This window comes from Homo sapiens, chromosome 4 (genome assembly GCF_000001405.40).
Source record: "Homo sapiens chromosome 4, GRCh38.p14 Primary Assembly".
In the NCBI taxonomy this organism is placed as follows: Eukaryota; Metazoa; Chordata; class Mammalia; order Primates; family Hominidae; genus Homo; species Homo sapiens.
In genome coordinates, this window is record NC_000004.12 from 188,766,606 (window position 1) to 188,787,990 (window position 21,385).

The following is a 21,385-nucleotide window of genomic DNA, read 5'->3' on the forward strand; positions in this document are numbered from 1 at the left end:
AATAAGATTAACCTAAAAAATCTTTCTGCTTTCCCTTAGGCTCTACATTCTTTTTAAATACCATTAACGTAAATTCCTGAAATTGTAAGGAACAAAATGAATTTTACAAAATACCATTTATCTCTCTCTAGAGTAATGGTAAAAGTCCAAATAAATGAGCTAATAGGATTGTATACAATTTCCTTCTAAAAACACAAATGTAGTTTTAAAGAACTTTTAACTATGTGTTCAAACTACATAATTCTTCTTTATTCATCTACCCAAAGTATAATTATAGCAAGTAAACATAGTGACTTCAATTAATTATGCCCAATTTTGAGGAAGAAAAAAATGTGTCTTTTATGAATTTTAAATTAAACTCAAATACACAAATCAATGTTATTTTAACTAAATAAAAAATGAAAATAAATTGTACCCCAAATTCTGGTTTGTTAAGTTCAAAAAAAGTAATATACTGACAAAAGTCATAAGCTTAATATACACTGGGTGCATTTAACTAGAGTAATATTTTTAACAAAGAGAGAATAGGTTGTCCATAATGTTTATTTTACTGAATGGTCCGCTAGGATGATGGCATTATAAATATGTATGTGTGTGTGTGTGACAGAGAAAGAAAGATAATTTTTAGGCAAAATTCAGTTCAAAAATTGCTTGCATTGAAATATAAACACTTTACTTATTAAACAGCTCATTTTTCTTTCATTTGGATCGTATTATTTTAAAATTATTTCAAACATAGTAAAATGTTCACATTTAAAAGCCCATTTCAGAAGAAAAACAGCAGGACAAATAGATAAATGATAGATAGATGATAGATAGATAGATAGATAGATAGATAGATAGATAGATAGACATAGATCATGTCTTAGTTTGTTTGTGCATTGTCATAGAATAGCACAGACTTGGTAATTACAAAGAATAGAAATGTATTTATCATGGTTCTGGAGGCTGAAAAGTCCAAGATCCAGGCACCAGCATCTGGTGAGGACTTTCTTGCTGAATTCTTACATGACGAAAGGCAAATGGACAACAAGGGGATGAATGCTGTGTCCCCACATGGCAGAGGAGCAGAATAGTTCTTTTTTTAGTGGAATGAGTCAATTCATGAGGGCAGTGTCTCATGACTGAATCACCTCCCATTAAACTCCATCTCCCAACACTGTTGCATGGAAAACGAAATTTCCAACACATGAATTTTGGGGTACACATTCAGACCATAACAGATATATATATATTTCCATTTATATATGGAGAGAGACACAGAGATAGAGAGGGCGGGAGAGAGAGAGAGAGACTGACAAAACAAAAAATGACAGTGACCTGATTAGCAGGTCAGAAAAATTTTAAAAAGGCAGTCACAAGATCTGAAAAGTCACAAATGTTTGGAAAAATCATAGATGTTTAGAAAAATCAATGTTTGGATTCACTTAGTATGAATTCCTCAATATCACTAATAATTCAGCATTGTATAAAAATGATGTTAATATAATGGCTCTGAATAACAATGTACATTTTGTGTAATAAGTTTGGACAATTTAGAAAGCTTTCCTCTATCCTAAATATCATATTCTTAACTATCCCAAAGATGAAGAATTTTTGAAAAGTGAAGGCCTCTCACTGAGTGAGAAATTAGATTGACTTTGAGAATGCTAATCAAGATTAAGGAAGATGTGCGAAGGTCATGGAAATGACGGGCTGTCACACTTGGCCAGACTTGGGTGCTTGGTGCAGTGGTGACTTTGACATGTGCTGTCACTGAGCTACCCTTGTATCCAGCTCTGCAACTGTGTTCCTTTCTCTCATTAATTCCAGGGGATGGGGTCCCCTCAGCATTGAATACAACTATTTATTAACATCTTAAACAGCGTCATGGTCATTCCAGTAATTTAAACTACTACTCAAGAATTTGTGGCTATTTCTGTTCTTTTTTCACCTCATTTGAGTCTCCTCAGTGTCACAATCAGAACTCTTTATCTCTTCAATAACTAACTAGTTACAACAAGCCACAACGGTCCAATCTAAATCATCTTTTTTTGCCAAAATAAGCGGGGACATCTATTAGCTCCTTTGTTTCTTTTTGATTTTGCTTTTTCCTATTGTTTTGTTTTTTCTTTTAAGATCTTAGCTTCATCCCTTAAGTATGTACCACCATTCTAAAAGTCCTTTTTATAAATTCTTCTCAAAGATTTTGGGGCCCTCATGCAGAATTCTTTGTGCCTTATTCTCCAGCAATGGAACTTCGGCATCTAGAGATTTCAAGGTGAGCGTATTGATTCCCTTTAGCACACTTTCTATAATATATGTAGATTTCTCATGTGGTGTAAAGCATTTAAATTATTTTACTAGCTACTTACCATTCTTTCCTTTCCTCAGGCCTTTTTTTTTTTTTTTTAAAAAAAAGAATGAATTCTGAGGTGATAGGTGCAGATGACTTTGGAGTAGCAAAATAAGGCTGGATTTATCCATCTAAAAAAAAAAAAAGAAAAACATTAGGCCTAACAGTAAAAATTTGAAGTTGAGTAAGAGGATAATGGGATTAGAGTGACAGTCGCAGAAGCTAAAACGTGTTTACGTGGAAGACAGAATCGAGAGATTTAAAGTCATTCTAAAAGGGTGAGGATATCTGTAATGAGGAGAAAAGGCCAGGGATGTAACCAGGGATGTTTTGGTTTAATGTTTGATGTGCCTCCTGAGTTTCTTCTCACCATGAAATCCTTGGGAAATAAATGTATATTCTTATCAATGCTGTAGAAGTTGGATTTATATTTCTTCTTTTGTGAAATATTCTCACAATTACACTGTCATCCCTAAAAACAAGGTCCTAGTTTTATAATACATATCTAATGCAAATAAAATCTCCTTTCTTTCTGAGGAGCTCCATCAACTACTTTATGGGTACTAGATTCGTTTCCATAGAGTGGGTGCTCTGTTTCACCTACAGATTATGTTATTTAATGGCTCTATTGGTTATTTCTCTTCTAATACTTCAGTCCACCGTCTCCTCTACCTCTCTATTACAAAACCTAGGTCCTGTGAGTTTCTTTTATTAAACATCTCTTGCACAACCTTTCAGAATCCAAAACAACTATCTTCATTTTTTTATCCTTTATATGAGACTGCATATAGTTTTTCAGTTGCCAACAGTGTCCATTGAATTACATGCACATTCAACACTCTTTCTTTCAATAATTTTTCCTCTTTTAGTTTTCTTATTTCAGTAGGTTTTTGGGGAACAGGTGGTGTTTGGTTACATGAGTAAGTTCTTTAGTGGTGATTTCTGAGATTGTGGTGTATCCATCACTCGAAAAATGCACACTGTACCCACTGTGTAGTCTTTTATCCATCACCACCCTCTCACCTTTTGCCCCAGTCCCCAAAGTTCATTGTGTCATTCTTATGCCTTTGCATCCTCATAGCTTAGCTCCCACTTATGAGTGAGAACATAGGATGTTCAGTTTTCTATTCCTGAGTTACTCCACTTAGAATAAAGGTCTCCAATTCCATCCAGGTTGCTGTGAATATCATTACTTCTTTCCTTTTTATGGCTGTCTAGTATTCCATGGAATGTGTGTGTGTATGTATGTATATATACACATACACACATATGTGTGTGTATACATTTTCTTTATCTACTCATTGATGGATATTTTTGCAATTGTGAATTGTACTGCTATAAACATGCGTGTGCAAATATCTTTTTCATATGATTTCTTTCCTTTGGGTAGATAACCAGGAGTGGGATTGCTGGATCAAATGGTAGATCTACTTTCAGTTCTTTAAGGAATCTTGACACTGATTTTCATAGTGGTTGTAGTAGTTTACATTCCCTCCAGCAATGTAAAAATTCCCTTTTCACCACATCCACACCAACATTTATTATTTTTTTATGTTTAAATTATGGCCTGTATTAGTCTGTTTTCACACTGCTGATAAAGACATACCCAAGACTAGGCAATTTACAAAAGAAAGAGGTTTTATGGGCTTACAGCTCCACGTGGCTAGGGAGGCCTGACAATCATGGTGGAAGGTGAAAGGCACATCTCACATGGTGGCAGACAAGAGAAGAGAGCTTGTGCAGGGAAATTCCTGTTTTTAAAACCGTCAGATCTTGTGAGGCTTCTTCAATATCAGGAGAACAGCAGGGGAAAGATCCTCCCCCATGATTCAATTACCTCCCACTGGGTTCTTCCCATGAAATGTGGGAATTGTGGGAGTTACAATTCAAGATAAGATTTGGGTGGGGACATGGCCAAACCAAATCATGGCCATTCTTGCAGGAGTGAGGAGGTATCACATTGTAGTTTTGATTTGCATTTCCCTGATAATTAGTGATGTCAAGCATTTTTTCATATGTTTGTTGGCTATTTGTATATCTTTTTTTGAGAATTGTCTATTCATGTCCATAGCTTGCTTTTTGATAGGATTGTTTTTTCATGCTGTTTTGAGTTTCTTGTATATTCTGGATATTAGTCCTTTGTCAGATGTTTAGATTGCAATGATTTCCTCCCACTCTGTGGGTTGTCTGTTTCTTCTGTTGATTATTTCTTTTGCCATGCAGAAGCTTTTTAGTTTAATTAAGTCATGAAATTAATTAGTTTAATTAAGTCATGAAATGATCATATTGCCAAAAGCAATATTTAAGACATGAAATTTCATGGTTATGAAATTTTTGCCTAAGCCAATGTCTAGAAGGGTTTTTTCTGATGTTATCTCCTAGAATTTCTATGGTTTTGGGTACTAGACTTAAGTCTCCCACCTTGAGTTGATTTTTGTGTAGGGTGAGAGACGAGGATCTAGCTTCATTCTCCATGTGGCTGCCAATTATCCTGGCACCATTTGTTAAATAGGGTGTCTTTTCCCCACTTTATGTTTTTGTTTGCTTTGTCAAAGTCAGTTGACTGTAAGTATTTGACTTTACTTCTGGCTTCTCTATTCTGTTCCTTTGGTCTATATGCCTATTTTTATACCAGTACCATGCTGTTTTGGTGACTATGGCCTTATAGTATAGTTTGATGTCAGGTAACATAATGACTCCAAATTTGTTCTTTTTGCTTAGTCTTGCTGTGACTATGCAGGCTCTTTTTTGGTTCTATATGAATTTTAGGATTTTTTCTAGTTCTATGAAGAATGATGGTGGTATTTTGATGGAAATTGTATTGAATTTGTAGATTGCTTTTGGCAATATGATCATTTTCACAAAATTGATTCTACTCACCCATGAACATGGGATGTGTTTCCATTTGTTTGTGTCATCTACAATTTCTTTCAGCAGTGGTTTGTAGTTTTTCTTGTAGTGGTCCTTCACTTTGTTTAAGTATATTCCTAAGTTTTTTGTTGCTCTTGTTTGTTTGCTTTTTTGCAGCTATTGTAACAGGGGCTGAGTTCCTGATTTGATTCTCAGCTTGTTCACTGTTGTTGTATAGCAGGGCTACTGATGTGTGTACATTAATTTTGTATCCTGAAACATTGTTGAATTCATTTACCAGTTCTAGGAATTTTTTGAGTCTTCAGGGATTTCTGGGTATACAATCATGTCATCAGCAAACAGTAGCAGTTTGACTTCCTCTTTACTGATTTGGATGCCCTTTATTTCTTTCTCTTGTCTGATTGTTCTGGTTAGGACTTCCAGTACTATGTTGAATAGAAGTGGTGAAAGTGGGCATCCTTGTCTTGTGCCAGTATATCTTGTTCCCATTCAGTATAATGTTGGCTGATGGCTTTTATTAACTTAAGGTATGTGCCTTCTCTGCTCATTTTGCTAAGCATTTTAATCATAAAGGGATGCTGGATTTTGTCATATGTTTTTTTCTGCATCTATTGAGATAATCATGTCATTTTTAACACTATACATATGATGTGTCACATTTATTGACTTGTGAATGTTAAACCATCCCTGCATCCCTGGACTGAAATACACTTGATCATGAATTATGTTTTTGATATGCTGTTGAATTCTGTTAGCTAGGATTTTGTTGAGGATTTTTGCATCTATGTTCATCAGGGATATTGGTCTGTAGTTTTCTTTTTTTGTTATGTCCTTTCCTGGTTTTGGTATTAGGGCGATATTGCCTTCATAGAATGATTTAAGGAGGATTCCTTCTTTCTCTCTCTTTTGGAATAGTGTCAATATCATTGGTATCAGTTCTTCTTTGAATGTCTGATAGAATTCAGCTGTGAATCCATCTGGTCCTGGACTTCTTTTGGTGGCAATTTTTAAATTACCATTTCAATCTCACTGCTTGTTATTGGTCTGTTTAAAGTCTCTATTTCTTCCTGGTTGAATCTAGGATGGTTGCATATTTCCAAGAATTTATCTCTATCCTCTAGGTTTTCTAGTATATGCATGTAAATGTGTTCATAGTAGCCCTGAATGATCTTTTGTTTTTCTGTGGTATTGATTGTAATATTTCCCATTCTGTTTCTAATTGAGCTTATTTGGATCCTCTCTCTTCTCTTCTTGGTTAATCTCTCTAATGGATTATCAGTTTTATTTATCATTTCAAAGAACCAGTTTTTTGTTTCATTTATCTTTTGTATTTTTTTTGTTTCAAATTAATTTAGTTCTGCTCTGATCTTGGTTGTTTCTGTTCTTATGCTGTGTTTGGGTTTGGTTTGTTCTTGTTTCTCTAGTTCCTTGAATTGTGACCTTAGATTGTCTATATGTGCTCTTTCAGAAATTTTTTTTTTTTTTTTTTTTTTTGAGATGGAGTCTTGCTCAGTCGCCGGTGCGATCTCGGCTTACTGCAAGCTCCTCCTCCTGGGTTCAAGTCATTCTCCTGCCTCAGCCTCCAGAGTAGCTGGGACTACAGGTACCCGCCACCACGCCTGGCTCATTTTTTTGTATTTTTAGTAGAGACGGGGTTTCACTGTGTTAGTCAGGCTGGTCTCCATCTCCCGACCTCGTGATCTGCCCGTCTTGGCCTCCCAAAGTGCTGGGATTACAGGCGTGAGCCACCATGCCCAGCCAGACTTTTTGATATAGGCATTTAATGCTATAAATTTTCCTTTTAACATCGCTTTTGCTGTATCCCAGAGGTTTTGATAGGTTATGTCACTATTATCTTTCAGTTCAAATACTTTTTTAATTTCCATCTTCATTTCATTGTTGACTCAGTGATTACCCAGCAGCAGGTTATTTAATTTCTATGTGCGTGGTTTTGGGGATTCCTTTTGGAGTCGATTTCCAATTTTATTCCACTGTGGTCTGAGAGAGTACTTGCTATAATTTCGATTTTCTTAAATGTGTTGAGACTTTTTTTGTGGCCTATCATATGGTCTACCTTGGAGAATGTTCCACGTGCTGATGAAGAGAATGTATACTCTGCAGTTATTGGGTAGAATGTTCTGTAAATATTTGGTAAGTACATTTGTTGTAGGGTATAGTTTAAGTCCATTCTTTCTTTGTTAACTTTCTGTCTTGATGAGCTGTCTATTGCTGTCAGTGGAGTACTGAAGTCCCCCACTATTCCATTGCTCTCTATCTCATTTTTTAGGTCTAGTAGTAATTATTTTACAAATTTGGTAGCTCCAGTGTTAGGTGCATATATATTTAGAATTGTGATATTTTCCTGTTTGACAAGTCCTTTTATAATTGTATAATGTCCCTCTTTGTCTTTTAAACTGCTGTTGCTTTAAAGTCTGTTTTGTTTGATATAAGAATAGTACTCCTGCTGGCTTTTGGTGTCCATTTGCATGGAATATCTTTTTCCACCTTTTTATCTTAAGTTTATGTGAGTCCTTATGTGTCAGGTTATTCTCTTGAAGACAGCCGATACTTGGTGAGTTCTGCCATTCTGTATCTTTTAAGTGGAGCATTTAGACCATTTACATTCAAAATTCATATTGAGATATGAGGTATTATTCTATTCATCATGCTATTTGTTGCCTGAATACTTTTTTTATTTCATTGTGTTATGTTTTACAGGTCCTGTGAGATTTATGCTTTAAGGAGATTCCACTTTGGTGTATTTTGAGGGTTTGTTTCAAGATGTAGAACTCCTTTCAGCAGTTCTTGTAGTGCTGGCTTGGTAGTGGCGAATTCTCTCAGCATTTGTTTGTCTGAAAAAGACTGCATCTTTCCTTCATTTATGAAGCTTAGTTTCACTGGATACGCAATTCTTGGCTGATAATTGTTTTGTTTAAGGAGGCCAAAGATAGGACTCCAATCCCTTCTGGCTTGGAGGGTTTCTACTGAGAAAACTGCTCTTAATCTGATAGGCTTTTCTGTATAGGTTACCTGATGCTTTTGCCTCACAGCTCTTAAAATTCTTTCCTTTGTCTTTAAGTAACTTGATGACTGTGTAGTTAGGTGTTGATCTTTTTGTGATGAATTTTCCAGGTGTTCTTTGAGCTTCTTGTATTTGAATGTCTAAATCTCTAGCAAGGCCAGGGAACTTTTCCTCAATTATTTCCTTGAATATGTCTGTCAAACTTTCAGATTTCTCTTTTTCCTCAGGAACACCAATTATTCTTAGGTTTGGACATTTACCATAATCCCAAACTTTTTGGCGGCTTTATTCCTTTTTTAAAATTCTTTTTTCTCTGTCAGATTGGATTAATTTGAAAGCCTTGTCTTCAAGCTCTGAAATTCTTTCTTCTACTTGTTTGATTCTGTTGCTGAGACTTTCCAGTGCATTTTGCATTCCTCTAAGTGTATCCTCGATTTTCAGAAGTTGTGACTGTTTTTTATTTACGTTATTTTATTGGAGATTTTTCCATTCATATCCTGTATCTTTTTTTTTTTTAATTTCTTTAAGTTGGACTTCACCTTTCTCTGGTGCCTTCTTGATGGGCTTAATAATCAACCTTTTGAATTCTTTTTCTGGTAATTCAGAGGCTTTGTCTTGGTTTGGATCCATTGCTGGTGAGCTAGTGTGATCTAACAGAGGTGCTAAAGAACCTTGTCTTGTCATATTACCAGAATTTTTTCTGGTTCCTTCTCATTTGGGTAGACTATGTCAGAGGGAAGATCTGGCACTCAAAGGCTGCTGTTCAGATTCTTTTGTCCCATGGAGGTGCTCCCTTGGTGTGGTGCTCTCCTTTTTCCTCTAGGGTGGGGATTCCTGAGAGCCAAACTGCAGTGATTCTTATTTCTTTTCTGGATCTAGCTTCCCAGTGGAGCTACCAGGCTCTGGGTTGGTAGTGGGTACTGGGGGGGTGTCTGCAAAGAGTTCTGTGATGTGATCCATCTTCATGTCTCTCAGCCGTGGATATCAGCACCTGCTCTGGTGGAGGTAGCAGGGCAGTGAATTGGAATCTGTGAGGGTCCTTAGTTGTAGTTTTGTTTATTGTACCAGTTTTGTGTTGGTTGGCCTCCAGCCAGGGGGTAGCACTTTTTGTTCTTTTTTTTTGAGACAGAGTCTAACTCTGTTACCCAGGCTGGAGTGCAGTGGCGTGATCTCGGCTCACTGCAAGCTCCGCCTCTCAGGTTCACGCCAGTCTACTGCCTCAGCCTCCAGAGTAGCTGGGACTACAGGCGCCTGCCACCATGCCCGGCTAATTTTTTGTATTTTTTTTTTTAATAGCGATGGCGTTTCACCGCCAGGATGGTCTCGATCTCCTGACCTCGTGATCTGCCTGCCTCAGCCTCCCAAAGTGCTGGGATTACAGGCGTGAGCCCAGCGCCAGAGAGTAGCACTTTCAAGAGAGCATCAGCTGCTGGAGGATGGGGAGGATCAGGCGGTGGGCAGGGCCATGGAGCTCCCAAGAGATTATGTCCTTTGTCTTCAGCTACCAGGGCTGGTAGGAAAAGATGATCAGGTGGGGCAGGGTTCAGCGTGTGTCTGTGCTAAGACTGTCCTTAAGCAGGGCTTGCTGCTGCTGTTCTGGGGGATGGGGTGTGGTTCCCAGGCCAATGGAGTTATGTTCCCAGGGAGAGTATGGCTGTTTCTGTTGCATCACACATGTCGCCAGGGAAGTGGGGGAAAGCCGGCAGCCCCAGGCCTCACCCAGCTCCCACGCATCCGGTAGCCTGAAGGGCCAGTCTCACTTCCACCATGTCCCCGCAACAGCACGGAGTGTATTTTCAGGCAGCCGGTGAGTAGGGCTACAAGCCTCCAGCTGAGAAAGCAAAGCCAACTCACAGTTCCTTGGCTGTCCCGCGGAGCCTGCGGTGGCAAACCACCTCCTTCAGAAGGGTCTGTGGATTCTCCTGGCTTTTCTGGTATGTTCCTGTGGTAGTTCTTGGAGCAGAAGTTCATGATGCCAGTCTTCATAGGCGGCTCTGTCTGTCTGAGTGGGAGCTGCAGGTTAGTCTGGGCTCCTTTCCACCATTTTTTTCTCAATAATTTTTCTTGATCCACTACTGTGCCAGGCATTTTGTAGTGTTGGACGTTGGAAGACACATAATATAGACATGGTTCCTGTCGTATTGCAGTTTATATTCTACCAACAAGCGATAAACTAACAGGAAAATATATGAGTATAAATGCTACCTACACTACAAAGGAAAAGAACGATGGATGTGTGAGATTGAGAGAATTAAATCTTAGTTTGGGTGGCCAGCAAAGGCCATCATGGGAAGATCACACTTCCTTAAGCTCTTTTTTCATCTTTTAAAATATTCATACTAACAATCACAATTTGAAATTGTACATTTATTTGTTTATATATTTATTTTAAGAAATGTAGGAAAGTGCAAAAACTGCAAAAATCTCTAAACTACAATACATGTTTTGCAAGCTCAGTTGATTACTTCTTAAATAGTCATATCCTGAATTTTGATTATACAATTTGCTTCTATTCCTTTTGAGTTCTTCAGAAAATATTTAAAGTTTCCTTTACTAAACTTTTTGAATGAATTTACATTTTTTTTTCCTATTAATGGTAGCATAGCATGTTTTAAAGTTCTATTTTTGCTGGGGGCAGAGTCTTACTTAGCTTGAGGGTTACTTGAGCATTTTTATTAGCAGCAGCTTTATTATCTATGATTAGATTTCACCTGGGCCAATTCATTACTCTCACCTTCCACACTTCAGAGTAGGTAGATAAACTTAAAAATAGTCAAAGGAACAATTTAGGGCATAGTTTACAAAATAAATCTAGCCTCTAAGTAATAACCAGCAGAAAATGAAAAACAATTTTTTTTTTATTTTGGTGCATTAAATGAAAAATACAAGAAAATATGTATATATTTTGGATAGAATTTGCAGGTTGTAAACTTAGCAGAGGCCGGGTGCGGCGGCTCATGCTTGTAATCCCAGCACTTTGGGAGGCTTAGGCGGGCAGATCACTTGAGGTCAGGAGTTTGAGAACAGCCTGGCCAACATGGTGAAACCCTGTCTCTACTAAAAATACAAAACTTAGCTGGCCATGGTAGCAGGCACCTGTAATACCAGCTACTCAGAAGGCTAAGGCAGGAGAATCACTTGAACGCAGGAGGCGGAGCTTGTGGTGAGCTGAGATTGTGCCATTGCACTCCAGCCTGGGCAACAGAGTGAGACTCCATCTGAAAAAAAAATTAAATTAAATTAAATAAATAAACTTAACAGAAAGTTAAGCAAACACAGGCTTCCCATATGAAGTAATTAGCATTTTGCAAAGAGGGAACATGGCATTAATAAAGGATCCTAGACTTAGGATCTCCACTACTCCATTTAAAATTGGATCTTTTTGAATTCACGGCAGGTTTTCCTTAAGAAACAATGTCATACATGATGGCTTAGTGTACTGGTCAATCCAGGGAAACTGATTTAATCCATAATATGACATTTGGGATAATATTGGACTAGACCAACATATATTGGGACCATCATATATATACAATGCTTATTAAAAAGATGTCTATTTAAGGTAAGTTCCTGAAAAATGAAAAATAATAGTATGCTGAGCAAACAATATGCTACAACAGAAGTTCAAAAGAAACCGAACAACCGAAACCAAACTGAACAAACAGGTGTGAAGAATTCGATGGGAAAGAACAGTGAGAAATGGTGCGGTTGGTTTCTGACTTTAAGTCACATTGATTTTTTTCCACAAGCACCATGTAAGTATTGGAATGCCTCTTAAAACTAAGTTGTGCTAACTTGGCTGGGCTGCTTTATAAACTCTTTACAAAATTTGATTCATGTTTTATTTAAGATTACATTTGGGAGGCAAGTCCCTAGGACTTGAGACAAGCTGCAGCATTCACCTGCAAGTGTGGCTTGCAAATCAGCAGACTTTGGAGCCATTGGAAAAGGCTACTTCCAGCTACAAAGTGAAAAGATATAAGCAGCGTGTGCTGTAGACTGAGGTAGTATCTTCGAGTTCTGTCATTGGCACCTATCAGTGGCTGAGATATCCTGGGTTGAAGTCTGCAAGGTCCAGCATAATGTATTATGCATGAAAAGACATCTCCTGTTACTTCATTTTTGTAAAAGATTACCTCAATACTCCTTAAGGGCTGGATGACAGTGTGTGAAGTGGCTGAAACTTACATCAAATGCTTTAATAACAGGTCAGCAAAAAGGCCAATGGGCTTAACTTTTACATTCCAACTGGCACAGCTACAGGAGTGGGCTATTTGCCAAAGACATCGAACCAAGCCTCGGAGAAGTAGAAACAGCTCAACCAGGTTCATTCAGCAGAGAATCGTGGTTAAAATATATTAAGCCTGGATTCCTCAAATTCTGTTGGTAAAGTTAATCGGGATAGGGTAACACTTGGCATCCTTATGCTATGACTGGATCTCTCATGGGAATGAGATCTTAGCTTTAATTTTTAGAATTTAATTAAAGCTTCACAAGTATAAATATAAAAGTACTTGTTATTGTTGTCACCTCTGTTCTTTAGCGATGACAAGTAACATCTTATTTGTGCTAACATGAGGAATCCATATGATATAGATTTAAAATATATCATTGTGTAAGATCTTATTTTTTCACCTTAACGTTGGCACCTATGTAATTTAGCTGAAACACTTTTAGAATTCAAGTGAGCTATGCACACCTCTGGGGAAATCTTGCTGGCCAGTTTTCCAGCGTTCCCATACAGGGATATTCACTCTTTGGCTGAGCCTTTGCTTAATTGTATTATTTTAGATGATGGGTTGCCTTGTGAGTAAATGATGAAAAGATGGAAGCTAAAATATACAGTAGCACACACCAGCCCTGTGGAAAATAAATAGCTGACTTTAAAAGAATGTTGTTCCGAAAGTCAAGGGCAATTTTAAAGAAGCAGTGAGTAGGCCAACTCAGTAACGAGTCACAGTGGTGTACTCATTGCTCCTCAGAGGCTCACATACGTTCTGGGTGTGTGTGTGGGGCCCAGCCTGGAGACTGAGAGACAACATTCTTCACCTAGTGAGGATGGTCTAAAAACAAATACATTTTAAGAAACTAAAACCTAATAATATCTTGGCCAAGTTATGTATTATAAAAACAAAGCTAAGAAAGGTGAGCTAATGAATGAAAATTAGAAATACAAGTTCTGCAATACCCGTGGCATTCATGGGAGTGCTGGGTTAATTTATTTAAAATTGCACCCGCTGGCAGATGCAAAAAAAAAAAAAAAAAAAAAAAAAAACAGAACATTATCTGTACGTTATCCTGTACTTCTTGCCCTCATGGGTAACATTTTTACTCATTTAGAGATCAACCCAGCACTTTTCACTGCTGACCACAAATTGTTTTACAAACTTTCATGTTGATTTTAACTGGATTGCCAGATTTGCCTCACAGCTTGAAGCAAATCACATCCCATAGTATCTGATAAGAGCTTGTAAAATAGTGGTACATGTTTCATTTAAGGGAAAGAATAGTTGCCTCAGAAACCGTCTGGTCTGTTAACTAGGTGACTGGATGGAATTGCGAGAAACACACTATGGACGGACCCTTACACACAGAACCGAACACTGGCCCCAATGTGTTTTGGGAAAATAATCCTTCAGGAATGAGCGTATTAGCTCCAGATATCAAACTTTAATAGTAGAGAAATTGCATGTATTATTAAACACCAACTTTACATTTGAGGTCTATGGGATGCATATTTTTCTTTCAAAAGTTCTACTTTTTTCAGGATGGGGATGAAACTGTATCACCACCCAAATCTAGGATACTTTTACTTCTACAGTAGTGAAAAAAAATTCCATATAGTTTTTTTTTGCAAGTTGTAAAAGCATACATGTTCACATACACCTGCCCCTTCTTCTAAAATTTTTAAAGAAAATGTTTCTGTCTTATTTACAGCTCCCTGAAAAGTAATGTTATTAAAAATAAACGTGTTTATTTGACTGGACACCCGGGTTTAACTACCCATGAGAGACCGCAGTGCTGTGGTTCAGTATCAGATGTGACTACCCACAAGAGGACACAGTGCTGTGACTCAGTGTGGTCAAGGACAATGCCTGCTACGTGCCTTACGGAATTAGAAAAGGGGGCTTTTACTTGTATTTATTGGTCTTTAAAATTTTGTTGTTTATATTCAGTAAAGCAATACTGAAAAAATGTTTTTGCCATAAATTAATATCATTATAACATCAGAAGAGAAAAATCTCCAAGATATTTTAAGGAGAATTAAAAATAGTAATATCAAGTAAATCAGCCAGTATTTATACGTTCACATCACACTATGAGAACGAAAACTCACTGTTTCTTGTGCATATTCAAATAAATAACAATATGAGTGTAAAATCTTTCAATTCTTCAGTCTGTTGAAAAGCCTGTGGAAAAACTAGAATCTATATTCCAGGTACTCCAGAGTATAGTAATGAAAATACTTATATTAAAAACAGGACGGCGGGCGGTGTGCAGTGGCTCACACCTGTAATATCAGCACTTTGGGAGGCCGAGGCGGGCGGATCACGAGGTCAGGATATCAAGACCATCCTGGCTAACATGGTGAAACCCCATCTCAACTAAAAATACAAAAAATTAGCTGGGCGTGGTGGCGGGCACCTTTAGTCCCAGCTACTTGGGAGTCTGAGGCAGGAGATTTGCTTGAACCCAGGAGGTGGAGCTTGCAGTGAGCCGAGATCACACCACTGCACTCCAGCCTGGGCGACAGAGTGAGACTCTGTCAAAAAAAAAATAATAAAATAAAAAACCAGAGAGGATATGACATTTTTTTTTTGAAAAGTGAGCAGTTAGAAGTTACAAATTTGATATGTAATTATATACAAAATGCAATTTATAGATATATTTTCTAGGAGCCAGTTGCACCATCAGTGCATTAGCCCTAAGCCTGTGTTTCAGACTTGTGAATTAGAAGCTTCTGACTCTCAAGAGGAGGCCTCAAGGCTGAGAGTGAAGAGGCTGCCAGTCCACGCATGACAGCCAGGGGTCAGCTCTCAGCTCGAAGGAAAGGATCAGCACAGGAAATATTTTACAGCCACGAAGAACCTTGACCTTTTCCACTCTTCTCTTTTTCCTATTTCCCCTTCTCCAGCCCCCTCCTCTAGCTCATCCCAATAATAGAGTAAAATCAAAGCATCCTGAATATTTACTAAGTGCTACATACCTTGTGAACTATTTCACTTGCAGTATCCCTAATACAGTTTCAATAAACCATGACCAGTAAAGTAATAAGCATTGTTTGAAAGAAAAAAATAGCCTAATACACTTCTTGTCAGACACACAAAAAGCTTTTCTTTTGTACATGTCTATGGTAAATTGCTTTGCATGACAGCACATAATCTAACCAAAGTGGATGTTCTCTGTTTGATCTGATTGTCTGAACAAAAAAAAAGCAGGTATTCTAAATTTCTTTCTTTAATGAAGTATACTCCATGAGAGACAATTTCTTATTAAGGCATATTTGGACTTTTATCAAACCTATTATTGATCTCTTCATCTTTTTCCCCCTGCTAGTCCAGGAAATGGGAGCTACTGAAACCACAGGATCTGCTCACGGCTTCCAAACACTCTCTGCAGACAATATGACCACGTCCATGTCCTCCTCTGGCTCCTGTGAGGCCCTTTTCATGGACCCCAGGCCCTTTCCTGTTTCTCCCAGAGGAGGAAGTCCAAGGCAGGGTCTGCATCTCCCTCGTCTTTGCAAGCCCCACAACAGCTCTCCTGGACAGTGTCTAAACTAAAACTTCTTGGCTGTTTAGTCTGGTTATACGTGTTACAAATTCCCCATTTCCTGTGGGGTTCACAGAGAGCTACAAAATTATAGTAATACTTCAATAGAAATTTCTGACTCCATTTTTCAAATATTATCAAATCTTCTAAGGTTCTAAGACCCTTTGCTGTGAAGATAGGTAGAGAACCACTCTAATACAAAACAGCGTTTGTTTTTCTCTCTCAAAGGGAATTGGGACTGTTTGGAAAGTCATGGAAATTTGCTATATACTTTAAAAATCTAGAATGCCTTCCCAACTGGCACACTCAGGATATGAGGAAGCAATGTCACTGCAAATCACTCCTGAACTACATTTAAACTGAGTTACTTGGTTTAGCTTGAGTTTTCTCTCCAGGCCCACAGCATCCTCAGAACTCTTGTCATCAAGGCTTAGGTAGAAACCTCTCCTCTTCAAATCGTGCCTTCCTTTCAGATCTAGTTAATTCTAGTCAGGATTCTAGGAAGGCCTCCCTCTGAAGACAATGCAAAAATAAAAAGAGCGACAGACCTTCCTTTAGTTGACAGCTTTCCATCATTTTCCGAATCAACTGTGATTCAAACTTTAAAAAAACCCAAGTTAGTGCCTGATGACTCCCTAGACTCTGGGACATCTGGTGCTGCCAAATTGAGATTCCCCTGACAATTTCCGAGGACAAAGATCTTCGAGGAGGGCAGCTCTAGGGAGAGTTTAGTCACCTCTGAAGTTGTGTCTCACAGACGCAGCATCCACTGACCCCTGACTTTCAGTTCATATTTTAGAACTGTTCCCAGGGGATGGAGATAAGGCAGTCATCAATCAGGAAAGTCAAACACATGCAGATGACTGAGAACAGCTCTCCTTGAATCCCAGTCATGGGAGTTGAGGAATGACCATTCCTCTACATAGTTCTATTAAAAAAAGTGAAATAAAATTTGTTCTATTTTGTTAGAGTTGCAGAAATAAGACAACAAACACAACCTCAATTGGGTTAAAAACCACACAGCTCTGGCAGCAATGTTAACATCATTTACATCAAGTTCCTTGGCTAAATGAGCAATTTCCATATGTCTAGTTTACATGAGCTCAATTGTAAGTGTGGTAGAATTGGCATCAAATAAATGGCATGGGTTCAGATCTGGTTTTGATTACCAAGATTTCTAGAGTATGTTTTTGTGTTTAACTCTTTTTTGTAACTTTGCCCGTGAATGTTTGTCTAACTTCTGCCTCATGAGCACTCAGTTTCAATTCCCTACATATGTCTATGCTTTGCAATTTGTATCTTGTAGTCCTTGCCGGAGTCCCACTGCTCCCGAACACATGCCCTGAGGCAGCGTGCCTGCACAACCAGCTTCCATCTGAACGCTTCAGACATGCGCTGCATTCAGGCAAGAGCCCTTTGGATCTTCCCAATTAGAGCAAAATCGCTAGCATTTAACTTCTAATTTTACAAGTAACAGTGATTTGCAATTAGTAACAGACATCAAGATGACTTGTGACCAGCATTATACATGTTATTAATTTGCACTCATCTATAATTAATTTTACAATGGCATTTAGCTCAATGCTTATTATAGGAAAATCTGTCGTTGAGAACCAGGATTATTACCTCTACAAATACATTATTTTCTCTGTAAAAGAACTCTGACTACTTTCACCAGAAGTACATTTTTAAAGTTAGTATTTTGTACTCGTAGAACTAGATTAAATAATATCTCGTTGAGTGAACGATATTTTAAGATTACAAGCTGAATTGCTTATTATGGCTTTCTAAATTCATACCTGTTCTGCAGCAGAATATTTAAAAATTTAAGTATTGAAAATAGTCTAAGCAAAGAAAATTGCTACTTGTTAACTTTGGAAGACTTGAAGACATAAAATTTCACCAAATGACAGATTTATAAAAATTTCTTTTTGGGGGAATGTTCAAGTATTGTGAAACTGTTACTGAAAACAAAACATTAAAGCATTAGCACGTGTTTTAAAAAGCAATAAGACAATCACCTCTGTAAGAAACACACAGCTAATTATTATGTGTTCTAGAGAATGCTGTCACAATCAGTCAACTTACAGAAGCATGATTTTCTTTTTATTGAAGTTGTCCCTTTGCAAAGGGTCCCTTTAGATATTATTTCTGTGAATAAATAATTCACTGTCTTCTTCATACTCAAAGATATGCTTTTGAGATATATGTATATATGACTCTTTAGTATGAGCTTAATTTTTTTCTCCAGCAATGGCTGTAAGAATGCACAGACTACAAGAGACAATAGTGAGAAAGCTGAGAAAGCTGGTGATCCACACCCTTTCCATTGGAAGCCTACAGGGAGCTTTCCCCTAGGGCCCCACGTGGTCAGCCTTAGAGCGACTAACACTTCCTAATTCAAGAAACCAACCCTTGGCCCCTGCACAGCGAGAACCAAGATGAATTGATTAATGCACAGTGAAAACTATAATTCTCACAAAGACAAAATCTTGTCAGCAAGTATGTCTGTCCCCCATAGCCTGGTGTTTAGCAAATGAAATATTTGAAATTCAGTGACCACAACATCTGCTCCTCAGGCCAGTATCTGGATGCTTATTGTCCATGTTCAGGTACATCCATCTCAAAGGATGTAGAGCCACACACCTTCTTTCATCTTACATCATTTATTTTGTTATTTCCTATACAGGGCAGGGACTTTTCTTGGACAGAGAAGCTGAGAAGTATCAGATAAAGATGACCTGCATGTACTGGAAAATAATCTGTGGTTTATATGTAGGCGGATGGAAGCAAACCAGGGTAATATACATTTAGAGGCAGAGGGCTCTCACAATATCCTCTTCAAAAAACATTAGGATGAAAACAGTTGCAGAACATTTCTAGTAAAATATATCATTAAAACTTAGGCTAACTTAACTCTTTCCACCTACACACTTTAGTAATTTACAAATAGCGTTTAAGCATATATTTCATTTAAAATAGAGTCCACATGATTGAAATAGTTATGAAACTCTGAGAGACTCTCAATAGAACTCTTAGCTGCTTATTACTATCTCCTAAGAAAACAATTTAACTACCCTCTTCTCATTAAAAAGTAAATAAAAATAGTCTTCATGATATTGTAAAGATCTAATAATGCTTCCTTTGACTTGTAGGAACAAAAGAAGAATTTGTAGTTCACAGCCACATGAGATAGTCAAGTGTTAAAAGGGAAAAAGAGCTATCGAAGGCAGGAAGCAAAATGCCTTCAGAGATAAAAGGTTATTCGTGGCTGAGTGAAAAAAATGGACAATGAGCAGAAAATAATTTATACTACAAAGTCTTTAGACGTCATTTACTTGGTAAGACATTATAGAAATATTTTTGGCCGTTTTGTTTGCTTTAAAATCCACTTAACTACAAAGTGACTTCACAGTTTAAAAATGACATAACATAATCTATATGGTACTACACTGATAATATCATCTAATCTTTCATTATGCTGTGACCAAGTCTTCTGTTAAAAGTCTAATTTTAACCTGGCACAGTGGCTCACGCCTGTAATCCCAGCACTTTGGGAGGCCAAGGCGGGTGGATCACAAGGTCAGGAGTTCGAGACCATCCTGGCTAACATGGTGAAACACCGTCTCTACTAAAAATACAAAAATTAGCCAGGCGTGGGGGCTGGAGCCTGTAGTCCAAGCTATTCGGGAGGCTGAGGCAGGAGAATGGCGTGAACCCAGGAGGCGGAGCTTGCAGTGAGCTGAGATCGCGCCACTGCACTCCAGCCTGGGCAACAGAGCCAGACTCTGTCTCAAAAAAAAAAAAAAAAAAAGTCTAATTTTCTTGTTGTATCAACATTTGATGTCCAATATGATCTTTAAGCAGCTATAAAATTATCAAAAATTAATGCTAGAAGAAATCTTAACTTATATCTTTCTTGAGATAACAGCTCTCTACATTTCAGTCTTTTTTAACTGTGGTTTTAGAATTTCTACCTCTAGAATAAGAAAATAGAAAAAAATTCTTTTTTTGAGACGGAGTCTCATTCTGTCACCCAGGCTGGAGTGCAGTGGTGCCATCTCGGCTCACTGCAAGCTCCGCCTCCCAGGTTCACGCCATTCTTCTGCCTCAGCCTCCCGAGTAGCTGGGACTACAGGCGCCCGCCACCACGCCCAGCTAATTTTTTGTATTTTTAGTAGAGACAGGGTTTCACCATGTTAGCCAGGATGGTCTCGATCTCCTGACCTCGTGATCTCACTGCCTTGGCCTCCCAAAGTGCTGGGATTACAGGCGTGAGCCACTGCGCTGGGCCAGAAAAAAATTCTTATGCCATTTTTAACTGAATATGTCCATAAAATGAAGTGGTTCTAACTAATTAGCACTTTTTCAAACATTGGCAAATATTATATTATTTATTCTCTGAAAATACCTACAAGTTATCTCCATACACCTATGCATCCTTCTTATTCTACAGATGGACGGAAATTTTAAAATTGTAAAAGCACCTCTGCATTGCTATATTAGTTCCCTATTGCTGCCGTAACAAATTACTGTAAATGCAGTTTATTAAAACAACACAGACACATTATTTTACCATCTGGAGGACAGAAATCCAAAATGGGTCTTCAGGGCTGCATTCCCTCTGGAGGCTCTAAGAGAGAGTCTATTGCCTTTCCATCTCCAGCTTCTAGAGGCTCCTGCCTTCCACGGCTAGTGACCTTCCATCACTACAGCCTCTGCTTCCGTCATCGCATCTCCTCCTGCCTCCTTCTTTTCCTTATAGGACCCCTGATTATCTTGGGCCCACCTTGTAATGTAAAGTAAACTCCCATCTTAATATCCTTGACGGGGCGCGATGGGCCAGGCCTGCAATACCAGCACTTTGGGAGGCTGAGGCGGGCGGATCACAAGGTCAGGAGATCGAGAGCATCCTGGCTAACATGCTGAAACCCCATCTCTACTTAAACAAAAAAAAGATCCTTTATCACTGCAAAGGCTTTTTTGCTATGTAACCTAACATGTTCAAGGATCCCAGGTACTAGGATGTGGACATCTTTGCAGGATCATTATTCTGCCTGGTACAGCTGCCTAGTGTTCAGTGTCCACTAAAACACTTTATTTCTCTGCTAATATTTTGTTGAGGATTTTGTGTCTTTGCTCAGGAGGAATCTATATTGCTTTGTAATTTTCTTTCCTTCTGACATCTTTTTCTGGTTTTGCCATGAGGCCTAAGTTGGTCTCAAAAACAAAGACAGTAAATGTTCTTTTCTGTCTTCTGCTAGTGTCTATATAAAATTGAGATGATGTCTTCCTTTAAAGTTTGATAGAATTCACACTTACGTTTGAAGTGCTTGAGGAAATGTTTTTAGTTATAAATTCAATTTCCTTAATTTCTCTTTTTG

The 21,385-nt window shown here is 38.1% G+C and overlaps 2 long non-coding RNA genes across 6 annotated transcripts in view, besides 1 other annotated feature; one reads left to right on the plus strand and one right to left on the minus strand.

Moving 5' to 3' along the window:
• Nucleotides 1–2,376: 2,376 nt before the first annotated feature.
• Nucleotides 2,377–21,385, minus strand: part of LOC101930028 (uncharacterized) — a 49,521-nt gene continuing 30,512 nt past the window's right edge. For 3 of the 5 annotated variants that reach the window (NR_188358.1, NR_188359.1, NR_188362.1), the window contains one exon: nt 11,069–11,446. This is a non-coding gene — a long non-coding RNA (uncharacterized LOC101930028). Of the gene's footprint in view, nt 2,467–11,068; nt 11,447–15,668; nt 16,930–21,385 lie in introns of those variants that run through there. The other 2 variants (NR_188360.1, NR_188361.1) reach the window with 2 other exon arrangements.
• LINC02508 (long intergenic non-protein coding RNA 2508) lies at nt 10,052–18,906 on the plus strand. The gene is made up of 3 exons (NR_149102.1): nt 10,052–10,162; nt 17,308–17,406; nt 18,691–18,906. It is a non-coding gene; the product is annotated as a long intergenic non-protein coding RNA 2508 (long non-coding RNA).
• Nucleotides 14,257–14,426: an enhancer, noted in NCBI's record as "experimental_77214 CRE fragment used in MPRA reporter constructs". NCBI's record gives its function as "activates a minimal promoter by MPRAs in K562 erythroleukemia cells, with activity observed for both the introgressed and non-introgressed 4:189702101 variant alleles {active_cell/tissue: K562}" and the evidence as "EXISTENCE:reporter gene assay evidence [ECO:0000049][PMID:34662402]".